Source organism: Homo sapiens, chromosome X (genome assembly GCF_000001405.40).
Source record: "Homo sapiens chromosome X, GRCh38.p14 Primary Assembly".
Taxonomy (NCBI): Eukaryota; Metazoa; Chordata; class Mammalia; order Primates; family Hominidae; genus Homo; species Homo sapiens.
In genome coordinates, this window is record NC_000023.11 from 135,318,576 (window position 1) to 135,334,754 (window position 16,179).

At 42.7% G+C, this 16,179-nt stretch overlaps 1 protein-coding gene and 1 long non-coding RNA gene across 9 annotated transcripts in view; one reads left to right on the forward strand and one right to left on the reverse strand.

Annotated features, from left to right (window-relative positions):
* Positions 1 to 16,179, reverse strand: part of ZNF75D (zinc finger protein 75D) — a 95,521-nt gene that overhangs the window by 69,987 nt on the left and 9,355 nt on the right. The gene's annotated exons all lie outside the window — the stretch shown is intronic.
* Positions 8,867 to 11,935, forward strand: LOC105373342 (uncharacterized). Of its 3 annotated transcripts, none has more exons than XR_007068342.1 (4): positions 8,867 to 8,981; positions 9,183 to 9,260; positions 9,903 to 10,016; positions 11,799 to 11,935. It is a non-coding gene; the product is annotated as an uncharacterized LOC105373342 (long non-coding RNA). The 3 variants fall into 3 exon arrangements; XR_007068341.1 differs by having other exon boundaries at positions 8,867 to 8,977; XR_007068343.1 differs by lacking the exon at positions 9,903 to 10,016 and having other exon boundaries at positions 8,867 to 8,977.

Consider the following 16,179-nt stretch of genomic DNA (forward strand, 5'->3'; position numbering starts at 1 on the left):
TGTTTATTAATTGGTTTAATATATATTCATTAACAAAATTAATATTCATTAACAATTATAAACAAAAATTAATAAACATATAAAACTTTCATGCTGTACATGCTAAAACATATTCCAGACAAAAGATGCCTTAAAATGTTCCTACCATTGGTTTAGAAATGGTATACCAAAAAACTAGCCTAAGGAAAAAAGAAAGGCAACTAAAACTGATGTGGCGTGGTATTTAGTACAGGAGGTCAAAGATATTTAAATCTTTGACGTAAGATAGACAAAATACTAGAAAAAGTAAATATTTCATAATATATGAAGGAAAACAGGGAGATGTTTTCTCTCACTAAGTTACATCTGTAATGTGGGTTGATATATGGTCATGAAAAATGGCAGTAGTCACAGACTGGTCATTCTGTCCAACAGACTCCTTTTCTCTGAGACCTTCCAACTGTACACACATTCTTCTATTTTCTGTGTGACTGAGTCCCATGGCCATTGCTACTTGGTTTGATACTTGTCACCTCACCCTAGATGAGCCAATCAGGTATTTTTCCTGATAATTTGGAGTTTGGAACTAGACCCCAAAACTCAGTGTTTTTCCTCTAAGTTTCATTACTGCCATTTCTGTATAGAGAACATTATTTAGAATACCTACTATTGAGTTCTCTTGAGCTACCCTTGTTTCTGTCCTTGCGAAGCATGCTTGCTGCTTTGGTTTCTTGGATTCTGTAAAGTACTTATGTTCTTCTAATTAATTATTTTGTTGTAGAAGTTCCCACTTTGTATTACATGCAACAAATATAAGCATTATCAAAGAAGTGTGTGGTTCTGCAATGTGCTTTATCAAGTGTACCACAGCAGAGCTCTGAAGTATGTCATCTGGTGCATTGAGGACAAAATATTGGCAGCAGGGGCATAGAGGCTTCCAGGCCAGGGTAGAAACTCTCTCCTTTGTAATAAAGGTAAGAAATGTAGTGGGTAATCTAACATCTTCCTATGAGGAGTGGTCTTTTTTGGCCATTACATGAGGCCACAAATACATTTTGAATGATTGTGGAGGTGATTAGGGAAATTTACTGAAATGTCTAAGGATAAGGCAAAGTTGGGGGGCCAATATGGTTCTGCAAAAGATCAGTTCAGAAGTCATGAGGACCTGAAATGGAAGTAATGGGCACACAGTTAATTCTTGGTCAAACCTGAAGTAGAACTTTTGTCTCTTAGTCAGTGGTGTTTTTCATTATACCATAGTGTTTAGTTTTGAAGGATGAGAGTCAAAATAGATAAGCCAGTGTGAGAATCTTTTTGGCATTCTCTAAATATTTTAATATTCTACCTACTGTTTCTTAGTTTTAAAAATTATCTTTGCAATTTCCAAACAGACATTTGTCAGATTTTTGACATATATAACAAAAATGATATAATTTCAGAACCTTAAAAGAGGATCTTGGCTGGGTGAGGTGGCTCATGCCTGTAATCCCAGCACTTTGGGAGGCCAAGGCAGGCAGGCCACGAGGTCAGGAGTTTGAGACCAGCCTGGCTAACATGGTGAAACCCTGTCTCTACTAAAAGTACAAAAATTAGCTGGGCATGGTGGCATGCACCTGTAATCCCAGCTACTTGAAAAGCTGAGGCAGGAGAGCCACTTGAACCTGGGAGGCAGAAGTTGCAGTGAGCCAAGATCGTGCCACTTCACTCCAGCCTGGGCAACAGAGTAAGACTCCATCTCAAAAAAAAAAAAAAAGATCTTAGAATCTAGAAAATAAAATATATGTTCCCAATCCATACTAATTGGCCTTTAGAGCAGAATATCCTTAATTCTTAAGGCATACCATTAATTTAATAATATACATTTAAAGTATATATATCTTATCATTATCTTCTTGATCTCAGAAATGTTAAAATGTAAAAAAGTAAGCATCTTGAAATACAAGAAAAACTGCTTATAGCCCTTATCTGGTTGTCTGGTTACTGTTTTATTGTATATACATGATACTGACAATTGCTTTGAAATATTTTTGATGGTTTTGGCAAATAAATGTTTATCCATATTAGGTAACTTTTTAAAATGATGAATGATGGTTTCCAACTGTGTTTTAGCATCCTCAAAATCTTCACTTTTTTTCCCTGTGAGCTCTTAACATGGAGAAAAATATGGGTCATTTTCCTAAAATTATGCTATTCTTACTTTATGGGAATAATCTCCATTTGTTACGATGTACAATTCTTCCAATGCATTATGGGATTTGTTTGGTTATTTTTCTTCAGGATTTTTGCATCTCCATAAATGGAAATGATCTCTCTTTATGCTCGTCTTGTCAGTTTTTGAAGTTGCTACAGAGGAAAGAAATGAGACTTAAGGGGAAGCAAGGTTGGGGGGGGTTATCTTAGTCCATTTTGTGCTGCTATAACAGATTATCACAGACTCGGTAATTATAAAGAACAGAAATGTATTTTCTCACAGTTCTGGAGGCTGGAAAGTCCAAGATCAAGGCACTGACACCTGGTCTGGTGAGGGCCTTCTTGCTGCATCCTCACATGGTATAAGGTAGAAGGGCTAGAGAGGATGAACACTGTGTCCTCATATGGCAGAAAAGTGAAAGTGGGTGAATCCACTCCTGCAAGCCCTTTTAATAACAGCATTAATCCATCCATGCATCCATGAAGATGGAACTCTCTTGACCTAATCACCTCCCAAAGGCCACACCACCCAGCACTGCTGTACTGGGGATTAAGTTTCCAACCCATGAATTTTGGAGGGGACACATTCAAATTATAGCAAGGTTTATTTATATAATTTTATATTTTTAAATAGATTCCAGAATTGTTTCTTTTGATTAATTAGAAAGAGGAAACATTGTTGATGTAGGAAGAGAAGCAATTAGTGTTGGATGTTTATGCAGGAGTGAAGTCCCCATAAAGGCAAAATCTTCATGAAGGCCATGTGCACAGTGGAGGGATTTGGGAAAGGGCTTAGACATCTCTCCATTGTTACAGAAGAGTAGGCAGAGAAAGCTGGAAGATGTCAGGATGTTGATAAAGGAGCTCATGTCTAATGGCTTTTGTGTCAGATTTGGGGAATGAGATGTGACTGCAGAAGCAGAGGTTGACGCGATGGGAACCAGCAACCAGTGAATGTGAGAAGTATGTAAAAGCTGGAAAAGGCAAGGGAATATATTCTTCCCTAGAGCTACCTGTGGGGGTTCAATCAGGCTGGTGGGAAAAATTTTAGTTATAATAGCCACAAATGCTCTTGGAAGGCCTGAGAGTTTGCATAACTTCGGTAATAGATCTGGCTGAAGGCAGCCAGAGTCTCTATGCAGGAGCCAGAGAGCTCAGGGTGCAAATACAAAGGAATGTAGAGTAGTTTATCTAACTAACTTGTTTACTCATGTGGTCCTAAGACTAACCTTTGATTTACTGCAGGTGCTTAATTGCTTTCTACTCGGGAAGTCCACAATGTCAATTACCCTCTAGTGGTGTTGACTCAAGCCTTTGTCAATTAATCTTTGCTGAATAAATGCGAGTCTCACCAGCTGGTCAGGACCTCGGCTGCTACTAAGTGGCCTGGACACTCAGCTGGACCGGCAAAGCAGAATACCTGTGTGTCAGTGTACTTTATTCATCCATTGTTGAGTCAGGGTCTGCAGGACGGACCCCCGCAGCTGCCAAAAGGAACATAATTCTGTCAACCCATTTTAGAATTCTGACACTCACAATGTTAATATATTTGTGTCATTTTAAGCTACTTAAGTTCATGGTTATCTGTTAGAGCAGCAACAGAAAACTAATACAAAGGCCTTAATCAAGGCCTTTCAACCTTGACATCAAAGTTGAGGAAATATGCCATGAAGTGCCATTTATTTTTTCCAAGTTTAAGAAAAGGTCAAATTGAGCTGTTAAATGGAGATACAAGGGAGATAATTACCACTTTCTCTCTTTCTCTCCAAATGTATTTATAGAGAGATAGATAGGTAGATAGACAGATAGATAGACAGATAGGATAGATATAGATATTGACATATAGATACAGATAATGGGTTTCAATACTTAAAGGACCTGTTTTAATTTATATTTGCCTGCATAATTTCAACTGGTGGAGATGAGGTAGTGTGCGCAGGGTCTATGGGGTCCTTTTAAAACTCAAGCTGATTGTGCCAAACACTTAATTTTAACTTTTTACTCATTTGAGTCTGAGTATCCATGCCCACTATGAGATAGGGCAATGGGGACTACGGCCATAGAAAATTAGGCAATGTAACAGTTCTGTTGTTTAAGGTAAGGCATACTTGTGTATCTTCTATTTTATGTTTGATAACTGCCCTAAGAGTATAGGGGGTACTTTGTTTAAATGTAGTGGGATCCCCAGATATAGCTGTACTTTGGACCCCAGTACTGATTAAGGACATGAAGGTTTACCAACTGGTGTATTTTAGCAGGTGTTAAAATTAATTCTGAATCCAGAGGTATAAAAACAAATCAGCACCCTTTTGTTTTTCTGTTGTATATAGTATTTTAGTAAATGCTTGCCTTCCAATTGGGTCAATTTTGTTTCTTCACCCTTGTATTCAGGTTTTTTAAGGAAATGCTAAATACACTTTGGGAGGTCTTCCCTACCCTGCTCATATTTATTGGTTTCTTCTTCCAGATAGTCTCAAGTTATTATTATCAGAGTTAGCAGCCTTCCTTATGGCAATGATTGCTTTACTGGGTTTAAGGATCCTGGGCTTAAGTCGGGTTTGAATGGACCCCTTGATTGTGCAACAGGGCACATGAAAATATCATTAGCATTTTCCAATAACATAATCAGGGGTTCTGTTGTTACAAAGTCATAGGCTGCAGTGACAACAAAAGCATTTTGTAGGGTCCTAGTGAGGCTTTTGCTTTTAGGAGCAAGAAGTCAGCCTGCCACATGGTAACTGCTCTTCCTCCATATGAGTGACCACCTCATGGGCACATAGATTGCACAGGGCATTATTCTTTCCATTGAGTTCTACAGAATGGGGCCAATGCCTGGTTGAGACTTACAGACAGTAGTCACAGGGTAAGATTCGTTCCCCTGAGCCCAGTGACAGTCATGGCTTATTCTGGAATTCAATGTAATCTGAGACACACAGATACATTTGGAACCAGACACATTACCCAGGGTCATTTTAAGGATGACCCCAATCCCATAATTCTATCCCCAAAGTTAACTGTTGAAATTTCCATATTAGGTTAGTTAAACTGAAGCTTGGTAGGATTCAATAAATGCAGAGCAAAGAAACATAGCTCAAAGAGCAAGCTTTCTAGCAGAAGGCAGCTCAAAGTGCATCCTTTCAGTCAGCAGCTGAGCCAGTGAGGAAGCCAAACCAAGAGATCAAAGATACTCTGTGATAGTGGACATTGTTTAGAAAGCATGCTCACTGTACCAATACTTGTTGCAGCACACACACACACACACACACACACACACACACACGCACACCCAAAGAAGGTTTTTAAGAGGTTTATTACTCACATACCGAGGCTTTCTGGGGAGAGGAGGGCAGGCAACCCGAGGCACTGATTAAAATCCGTCACAGTAAAAGATGAAAAATGGAGGTAAGATACTTGATGACACATTTTCTTGACAAACTTTGAAGTAGGAATGATTATGACCCCAGTTTACAGATGAGAAAATGAAGCTTAGAGAAGTGAACCCAATTGATCTAAAAATAATTTATAAGTGTCAGCAATGGAACTTGGATACACATTTACCTTATGTTAGTGACTATGTTCTTAATCCAGGCCAGGTAAAGTGGAAAACATTTGAACTAGTAAAAAGTTGATTTCCAAAGTAATGGAGAGACATTGTCTTATTATGTGTGGATACCTGTTAAATTAATAATAAATGCTGCAACAATTATGTGCAGTATACAATTATACTTTAAAACAGAGGATGCTGCTGTTAGTATACTAACTCTTGTTTGAATTGGACATTACATCAGTGCTTCTTAGTGCACTAATAAAAATATAGTTTCTTGCCTCAGGACACATACACCTCTGTGACACCAGTAACACTGTAGTCAGAGGCTGAAGGTCAGTGTGTCGGTAGGCTATTGGATCTCACAGTGTTGCAAGTGACTTAAGGTCATGACTCACCTGAGCACCATTAGTATCACCGGCAGCAGGGCTTCAGGCCCAGATGCCCACGCTCTAACATTAGGAGAACCAGAATTGAGGTCATGCATGGCTGCAAGCGTAGTTGTCTTAGGTCTCTGAGAATACGGTACATGCTGTGTTAGCCCAGCTGAGGTTCTCAACAGCAGATGCTAGCAGAAATCTCAGGGACAAAAATGGAATGTCCTTTCCTGAGTGAAAACAAGCAATTCCATAGCCAAGGACCTGACCATCGGCCATGGTGTAGAGACCAGCTTAAGACTCAGGAGCCCTGCCCCTTCTGCTACTGTGAGGACCATGAGCTTTGCCTTACTCTAAGATGTCTTCTTTGGAAATGGGAAGAAGGCAGGGGAAACAACCCTACTGATGAGACACACTTTCAAGGAAATGTATATCCAATGGTGACTGCTTAAATCAGAGGTTGGCTGAGGTGACCACATGATAAATGCTAAGGGAGGAGGATTAAATGAGATGATATTACTAAAGCACTCAGTACAGTGGCTGGCATGCAGAGAGTGCTCAGAGCCAGTGCATGCCAGCCACTGTTCTGAGTGCTTTAGTAATATCATTGAGAGGTGACAGCACGCTGGCAGTCCTCACAGCCCTCGCTTGCTCTCGGCGCCTCCTCTGCCTGGGCTCCCACTTTGGTGGCACTTGAGGAGCCCTTCAGCCCACCGCTGCACTGTGGGAGCCCCTTTCTGGGCTGGCCAAGGCCAGAGCCGGCTCCCTCAGCTTGCAGGGAGGCGTGGAGGGAGAGGTGTGAGCAGGAACCAGGGCTGCGAGCGGGCTTGCAGGCCAGCTGAGCTCCGGGTGGGCATGGGCTTGGCGGGCCCCGCACTCGGAGCAGCCGGCCGGCCCTGCCGGCCCCGGGCAATGAGGGACGTAGCACCCGGGCCAGCGGCTGTGGAGGGTGTACTGGGTCCCCCAGCAGCGCCAGCCCACCGGCGATGCACTCGATTTCTCACCCGGCCTTAGCTGCCTTCCCACAGGGCAGGGCTCGAGACCTGCAGCCCGCCATGCCTGAGCCTCCCACCCCCTCCATGGGCTCCTGTGCGGCCTGAGCCTCCCTGAGAGGCGCCACCCCCTGCTCCACGGCGCCCAGTCCCATCGACCACCCAAGGGCTGAGGAGTGCGAGCGCATCGCGTGGGACTGGCAGGCAGCTCCACCTGCAGCCCCGGTGCAGGATCCACTGGGTGAAACCAGCTGGGCTCCTGAGTCTGGTGGGGACGTGGAGAACCTTTATGTCTAGCTCAGGGATTGTAAATACACCAATCAGCACCCTGTGTCTAGCTCAGGGTTTGTGAATGCACCAATCGACACTCTGTATCTAGCTACTCTGGTGGGGCCTTGGAGAACCTTTATGTCTAGCTCAGGGATTGTAAATACACCAATCGGCATTCTGTATCTAGCTCAAGGTTTGTAAACACACCAATCAGCACCCTGTGTCTAGCTCAGGGTTTGTGAGTGCACGAATCGACACTCTGTAACTAGCTGCTCTGGTGGGGCCTTGGAGAACCTTTATGTCTAGCTCAGGGATTGTAAATACACCAATGGGTACTCTGTATCTAGCTCAAGGTTTGTAAACACACCAATCAGCACCCTGTGTCTAGCTCAGGGTTTGTGAGTGCACCAATCGACACTCTGTATCTAGCTACTCTGGTGGGGCCTTGGAGAACCTTTGTGTTGACACTCAGTATCTAGTTAATCTAGTGGAGATGTGGAGAACCTTTGTGTCTAGCTCAGGGATTGTAAACGCACCAATCAGCGCCCTGTCAAAACAGACCACTCGGCTCTACCAATCAGCAGGATGTGGGTGGGGCCAGATAAGAGAATAAATGCAGGCTGCCTGAGCCAGCAGGGGCAACCCACTTGGGTCCCCTTCCACACTGCGGAAGCTTTGTTCTTCCGCTCTTTGCAATAAATCTTGCTACTGCTCACTCTTTGGGTCCACACTGCTTTTATGAGCTGTAACACTCACCGCGAAGATCTGCAGCTTCACTCCTGAAGCCAGCAAGACCATGAGCCCACCGGGAGGAACGAACAACTCCAGATGCGCTGCCTTAAGAGCTGTAACACTCACCGCGAAGGTCTGCAGCTTCACTCCTGAGCCCGCGAGACCACGAACCCACCAGAAGGAAGAGACTCCGAACACATCCGAACATCAGAAGGAACAAACTCCAGACGCGCCACCTTAAGAGCTATAACACTCACCGCGAGAGTCCGCGGCTTCATTCTTGAAGTCAGTGAGACCAAGAACCCACCAATTCCGAACACATCATCTCATATAATCCTCAGAAATTCCCAAGAATGATGGTGCTATTGTTATCTTTACCATACAAAAGGGGAACCTGAAGATCACAGAGGTTTAGGGACTTGCCCAAAATCCCACAGAGCTTGGATTAAAAATCAGACCACCTGTCTCTTGAGCCTGTGTTCTCAGCCATGTCTGTATGTAATGATGTTTTACTAATTTGGACAAATGACAGTCCCCACCCTACCATTATACAGCAGGGGTGGAGTTCATGAGTTCAATTAGTTTGTTGATGGCAAGTAAAGATGCTACATTATCTGGTTGTATCTAGATGTTTTATCTCCCAGACCACTGAGCAGCCACAGTTCCCAAAGGAGTAGCAATTGGTCTGGGAGAGAGGGTTAAGAAGAGAGAGGAAAAATTAATTTCTCTTTCTCCTACATTGTTTCTCTGAGTCCCAGGACATGATTGGTTAAGTGCCAACAGGAGTCATGATGACTCACAATGCAGCTGAGAACCCTGTTACCATTTGCAATGACAAGAACTAAACACTAGCCACTACCACCAGGGTTACTCCTGGTTCAGGGCTGAATACAGTGAGTAAGTGGGAGGTGCTGGCAGAGGGGGTAGATATTACTTTGTAATATCTGTTCCCTAGACACTCAGTTATCTTGGCCTCAGAGCTATTCCCTGGCTCATGCAAAATCTGTTAACAGGCCAAGAACACTGTTAAAATATTTTGGTAACTTCTGTGGGAGGAGTTACCAAAATCTGTTAACAGTATTCATTGCATTTCCACAGGTCCACTGGGCAATGATCAGCAATTCTGACTTCAAGATCCAATCACCCAGTGAAAGCTACAAGAGAACTCAGTACAAGGTAGTATTCCCTTTTCTCTCTCAGTCTCTACACCCAGCTTTGGTCATGACTGTAATTATCACTTTTATAATACACAATTCATGTAAATGGGGTGTTTAATTGCAGAAATTTGACTGAGAGTACCCATATGTTTCAAGCCATATTCCCTTCCAAGTCTCTGATCTAGAATAACTATATTGTTACCATTAAAGTGTGACCCATATGGGTATTGTCCAGAGGCAGGACATGAATTTTCCAGGCTGACAGAGGGATAATGGTGGGGACAGAGCTTTGTGTTTTTTATAGTGCTGTTTCCCTGAGGAACTAAAATGACTATTATGAGTAGATGTGGCTTTTGTCCACACTGGCTCCCCACTCAGTCTCACATAAGAAGGGAGGAAATTGAGGTACAAGTGCCTGAAAGTGGGACGTTTGTGACCCAAGTCACAAACTCTGTTGTTTGAGTGGCAGGAAAGGCTTAGTCCTCCAGGTTTTCTTCTACCCCAGGTAGAACCATGTAAAGACCCTGAGGCCATGTTTAGTGTTCCAAACAAATTAGTTCTGAACCCAAACTAATTGGGTTCACATCCTGGTACTGCCACATACTAGCTATGTGACCTTGTGCCAATTCCATGATTTTCCTGTGCCTGTCTCCTGCCCTAGATAAATGGGAATGACAGTTGCACCCACCTCAAGGTGTTATGAGGCTAGATGAGTTTCTGCATGTCAAGCCCTCAGAGAAGTGCCTGGCAAGCAGACAGTGCTCAGCTGAGGAGGGTGAGTAATGTTCGTATTGCTGGTGTTGTTATTCTTCTCATTACTGTATTACTGGTAAAACAGAGGATGCCAAGGAAGCCTAAGGGACTAGACAATAGATGTCTTCACCTCTTCACTTTCCCAATGCAAGGAGAACCTCTTAAAGTCACAGACAGGGTTGACAATTTTCCCTGGCTACGTCTGTTCTCTTTCCTTGAACTCCATTGACAGGTTCATTGTCTATGTTTTTGTGGGTTTTTGGTTTTGGATGACTTCCCTCTGACCACGCTCCTTGTGTAACAATTCCTTTGGAAGAAATAGGTGAGACAATGACTGTAGGTCAACTTGCCTTAGTGTTGCCTGTCCATGTCTCAAATCTGTACCTCTGAAGAATCTTGTTTCATTTAAATACCACTGACAGAATTGGCTTGCACACATATTCTCATGCTTTTTTGTGGAAATACACTCAAAAATGACACTTATACAACTGATAGTCCCAACTCCTTTCTTACAGTCCTCCAACTTACATTTCTATACCAGAACTTCCATCATCACTATGCTGTAAATTCTTCTAGACCTTGTTTTCTGCATTTACTTTTATATATGGCTCCATGAAGAAACAAAAATAGGATGATAAAATGCATAATGTTTTGCAAGTTTCTTTCTTCAATTACCACTTTTTAGAGATATTTTTCATGCCTTTTTAAAAATTATTTATTTATTTATTTATTGAGACGGAGTCTTACTCTGTAGCCCAAGCTGGAGTGCAGTGGTATGATCTTGGCTCACTGCAACCGCTGCCTCTTAGGCTCAAGTGATGCATCAGCCTCCCGAGTACCTGGGACTACAGGCACATGTCACCATGCCCAGCTAATTTTTTGTATTTTAGTAGAGATGGGGTTTCACCATTTTTTCCAGGGTGTTCTCAAACGCCTGAGCCCAGGCTATCTGCCTGTCTCGGCCTCCCAAAGTGCTGTCATGCCTTTAAATAGAGAACCCCATCATCTTTTTCAATGGCTGCTTTTTATTTCACATTATTGATATAACAATCTATTAACAATAGGAATTCAGAAAAATTGCCTCTGTCAACCAAGGAAATCACCCAGTTTGACAAAAATGTAAGGTAGACACAAGCTAAACACATAAAAGAAGATATTGTATGCTCCTCTAAGAATAAATTATGAAATAATAGGAATAATATATCCAGTTCACACTGGCCATCAGATATACCTGAATATGATTTTTTTAAATACTGAGAATTATTCATGAAACATTTTTATATGTTTCCTGTTTGACACTATTATACCATTATTTCTAGATTGAAAAATTAATTACTATATCATTTCTGCCACCATTTTAATCTGTGAACTCAGTGCAAGCACAGTCATGAACCTCCATATGAATTTGACATGAAACAAAATGAGCTGATTATTCAATTAAAAGGACAAGAACACATATGGGAATAACCTTGATAGGGAGCTTGGCCTACAAGACATGAAAACCTACATAATAGATTTAGAAATTAAAACAGGGATGAAAATTGCCTCAATAAAACAGAGCAGATTCTAGATACAGACCCGTGTGTATGACAGAATGAAAGAAATAGTATCGTTGGCATTTTAAATCAGATCATGGCCCAAAGCAATCTCTTATGACTGCTGCTGGTAGCAGAGTGTGTTAGTATGTGTCTGTGTGGGTATGGGTGTGCGTGTGTGGGGGTGATGTGATAGGGATGTGATAGTGGACAGTGAGGAAAAGACCCCTGGGTCCACTTGGTTATCTTGATTTCATCATTTTTACCAGGCTTTCTTGGTTGTGCTGTCTTTCTGAGGCAACGTGGAGTCTACCAGTCACGGACAAAGGACTCTCTGAAGTCAGTCCCAGCACACCTGCACCAAATATCAGGAGGAAGGCAGATGAATACTTAAAGTCCAACATGTCCCCCAACAATGTGCTGAGTTTTTTACTCGGTAGACAACTGGGGAGGCACAGAAATGATGTGGATCTGACAAAGTGGTTGTGGATGCTGACACGAGCAATGCCAGGGTGGAGCTGGCCTTTGCCAAAAAAAATCACGTGACTTACAAGCACATGCCTACACAGAATCTTGGAAAATAATTTTTTTTAAAAAGTATTAGAATAAAATTCTTCCCTAGCTTCAGCTATTGAAATAGAAGCTGTGTTTTCATTTATTTTGGTTTGATATGTTTTTATGCTGATATGGCTTTCTTGAGTTACACTGGACAGGGGATTCTATTCATTCTAAACATTCTGTGCAGGAGCACTCAGACACAGGGGAGATACAGGTCATGCTGCAGATCAGATTTCTTCCACCATAAATCTTTCTTTTTTTTTCAAAGCAAGGGAGTACTTAGGTTAGTACCAGGCCATGCAAGGATGCAAGACTCCTCTCCCTAACGATTTTGAAGAGATATCCATCCAGTTCTCCTCTAAAACCTAATTGCTTACCCAGATGAAAAGATATTTGAGAATAATGAACCCATGAGTTGGGTGGGAGGTTTAGGATACCTTTTTATTCTGATGCTCATGAGAGCACCATTTAGAAACTACAGCATTGTGGATTTTTGGTTCTATTTAATATTAAAAAATTAGAGCACAAGGCATTTTAATATAGGGAACAGCATACTTTCAGATCCTTCTAAAAGCAGTTGTTCTTCTCATTGTCCCCAAAGAAGTAGAATCCCCAGGTGCACTTATTTGTGCCATCTGAAATAAATCTGTTTAGGCCACAGCCAATTGAAGAGAATTCATTTGACTGAAGTGGAACTAAACCAGAGGATAACAAGACTGTGACATGGCTTCCAGGAAAAAAAAGCTAAAGGACTGGGAAATACAGGTATTCGCTCTGAGACAAGTGAAATGAGAATTATGTAGGCAATTGGTCACTGAGAAGTGAGAGCTCAAGCTGAAGAGGGGACAGGGATTGCAAAGAGGTCAGAGCCATGGTGGATATGGGCAAGCTTAAGTTAGGAGTAAGATGAAATTAACATAAGGTCAACCATTAAAGCCATTGCAAATTCCAAGCATTTCTCTTGTCCTTTCCTGTGAGCTGCAAAATAAGCCTGCAAGCAGTCCTTCTGTGCCCTCTTCCTCTCCTCCCAAATTCTCTGGGTCCTCACAACCTGTCCAGCACTCCCCAAGGCCTCTTCCTGTCTCTCCACCTCCACCTACATCTAAGGCGCTGTTACTGTCTCTCCCCTTAGCCAGGTTTCTTCCAGATTTGTGTTAGGTAGAAAATTTAACCCTTCCATGTCCTTTTCACCCTCCTCTCTGTCCCTGTCGCCTTCTCTGTCCCTGCTCTGATTCAATATTGCCAAAAAATAGCCACCAGCCTCTCTTCAGAGGATGCAGCTGGCTGTAGGATGAAATGGGGAGGGGTTAGAGACTACAAGGTAGAAGGGCCTCCTGGGTGCACTGTTGGTGGGAACACTGCCTGGACACTCCTGCATCGGTGACTATTTTCCTGCAGTCCAGCATCAAACAGTGGCTGCGAGGAGGAGAAAAGGTGGGGAATGGAGACTGAAAGAGCAGCAGGTAGGCCAAGAAGGAGTAAAACCCACAGGAGCAGAGGCCGATAACAGCCAACCTCCTATACCCCATGGCCACACAACTGAAGAGACAGAAATTAGGATGCATAGTTACACATGGATAAATCTCACCATCATATTGAGTGAGAAAACAAGTAGCATAGAAGGGTCCAGTAGTGCTTATGCTATGCTCTGAAGGCTTGTTCCCCACCCCTCCACTTCATATGTTGAAATCCTAAGGTGATAGTATTAGGAGGTGGGGCCTTTGGGAGGTGATTGGGTCATGAGGGTGGAGCCCTCATGAATAGGATTAGTGCCTTTATAAAATAGGCCCAAAGGAGCTCATTCATCCCTTCTGCCATGTGAGGAAGCACTGTTATATAAACCCGGATGTGAGCCCTCTCCAGGAACTGAATCTGCTGGCATCTTGATCTTGGACTGCCCAGCCTCCAGAACTGGGAGCAATAGACTTTCTTTTTATTATGTTACCCAGTTTATGGTGTTTTGTTATAGCAGCCCAATTGGACTAAGTAAGACAAGTTTGTTACATACAAAGATAGTAAAGATTCAAACTAGTGTAGCAGGATGTTCAACTGGTACTCTATCTAGTCTCAGACTTGGCTGACTTCCTAGAAAAACTGATATCAACTACTCATCATCTCACAGGCAGTTACCTGTCCATCCACAGAGAATTGGTAAATAAGGTAATCACAAACAGTGGAATGAACTCTCACTATTCACCCATGTGAGAGTATGTACACACATGGGAGAATCTGGGTAGGCTGGAGACCAGAGAAGCCCCACTTCATGGAGGTTGTATAGTATGCTAAGTTTACAGAAGGAAAGTACCCTTCACCTCAAACTTACTGGGGAAATTAAGTAGTCTCTAAGTGTTCACTGAGAGGGCTTGATTTGTTGCTCCAGAAATCAGAATCACAAGTAAAAAATCCAAAAGGGGAGTGACTGGCAGAGAGAGAGAGAGAGAGGCAGAGAGAGAGAGAGAAAGAAAATTTGGCTGGGATTCTCCTAAGAAGAATATTCTTAAGTGATCTTAGAGGAGGTTATGTGTAACCCTAACAGAGAAATTCTTGGTGCAGGTGAACCTCAGGACCGGAGGCTGATTGGAGTGTTTTATTCTGTGTCATGGAAATACTCTCTCCTTCCACACCTCAATTTCTGCCTGCTGCCTCTTATTGGCCAAATACATATGCCTGCTGCCTCTCATTGGCCCCACTAGTCAGAGGGCAAGGAAGGCCAGGTGATATAGCCTTTATGTGTCAAGTACCTGAGGAACAGAGCAGTATAGAGAAGGAAGTAGGATATATCTGATTAAACAAACTGAGAATAACAAAAAATAATCCACCACTTTTCCCACAACCAGCACCCACTGTTGCTTTGAGCAGATGAAGGAACCCTTTGCCTAGCACAGGGTACCACACAAAGTCCCATTAGCCCTTATATTATCATAGGGTGAGGTCACTTTTTATCATAATCCCACTTGAAATCTAAATTGTAAATTGTAACCTTAAGGCTGATGAGACATTTTCCTACACAATATCATGGGATGGACAAAGAATAGATCATCCCACCTACCTTCCCGCAAAACAAATTCTGCCAAAATCTCAAAATATTGGTGGATCTTTACCTGGTGGGGCAACCAAAGTTTTAATTCCCCCCAAAAAAAATCAGTCTAAAAAATCTCAGTCTTTAGAGGTGATATAATTATGGAATTGCAGCACTTTTACAACGAACATCAGAACTGGACACAGGAGTACTAGGAGGTACCCCAGTGAATCCCCTCAGTTCCAGAAATAATCATCTTTTCATCGCTATGAAGCAGCAAACTAAAATTCCCCCTTAATAATCCAGTTTACTTACTTATTCAACACCCCTTCTCAGCTATCAGTTCTGCAACCTGAACAGCTTAGAATGGACAGGAAACAATTGGTCATTGTCAGTTTCTAATTTAATGGAACCATGGATATGTTCCATGGGAGAGGCATATTGTCTTGAAGACTTTAACCTGAAAACCACCCAATTGCTATTTTGGCGGAAAGGAAAAGAGAAAATCTGTAAATGATTTTTTGGTATAATAGTGGGAGGGGTCACTTTCTACCCCAAGCAATCTATGATGCCATTCCCCCAGGCCAGGTTGGGGTAGAGAGTGACCCTTCCCTGGGCCTGCTCCAGAGGACCAGTCATGTCCACACTCATCAGCCTTAGGATGCCTCCAGGCCTCTGGTTTCCTTTGGTTTGTCTAGGGGCTTACAGTCCTAGTCTGATAAGTTCACTTCCTGTGGAGCTTGACCAACATCCGTTGTCCTGTGCCTGAAGAACCAATGCCAAATATGCAGGGAGATCCTTGATCATTCCCAAAGGCTCTCAAAGAAAGCAGCACAATGCCCACCACTGCTCGGCCTTCTAGGGGTAGGAAAAGGAACAGGAACAAGAAGTAGGAATGAAACCAGGAAGGGGTGGACCCCCTCTCCCTCCATCTTTTCTATGGGCTGCCCTACTCTCTCTCACTCCACTTCAAGCTAGTGCCAGCTTGAAGGAAAAAAGATGAAGGGGCTCCCTGCTGTGTATGGAGGGGCCTGTGCTCTAGGCGATGATCATAACACACAGCTGCATGATTC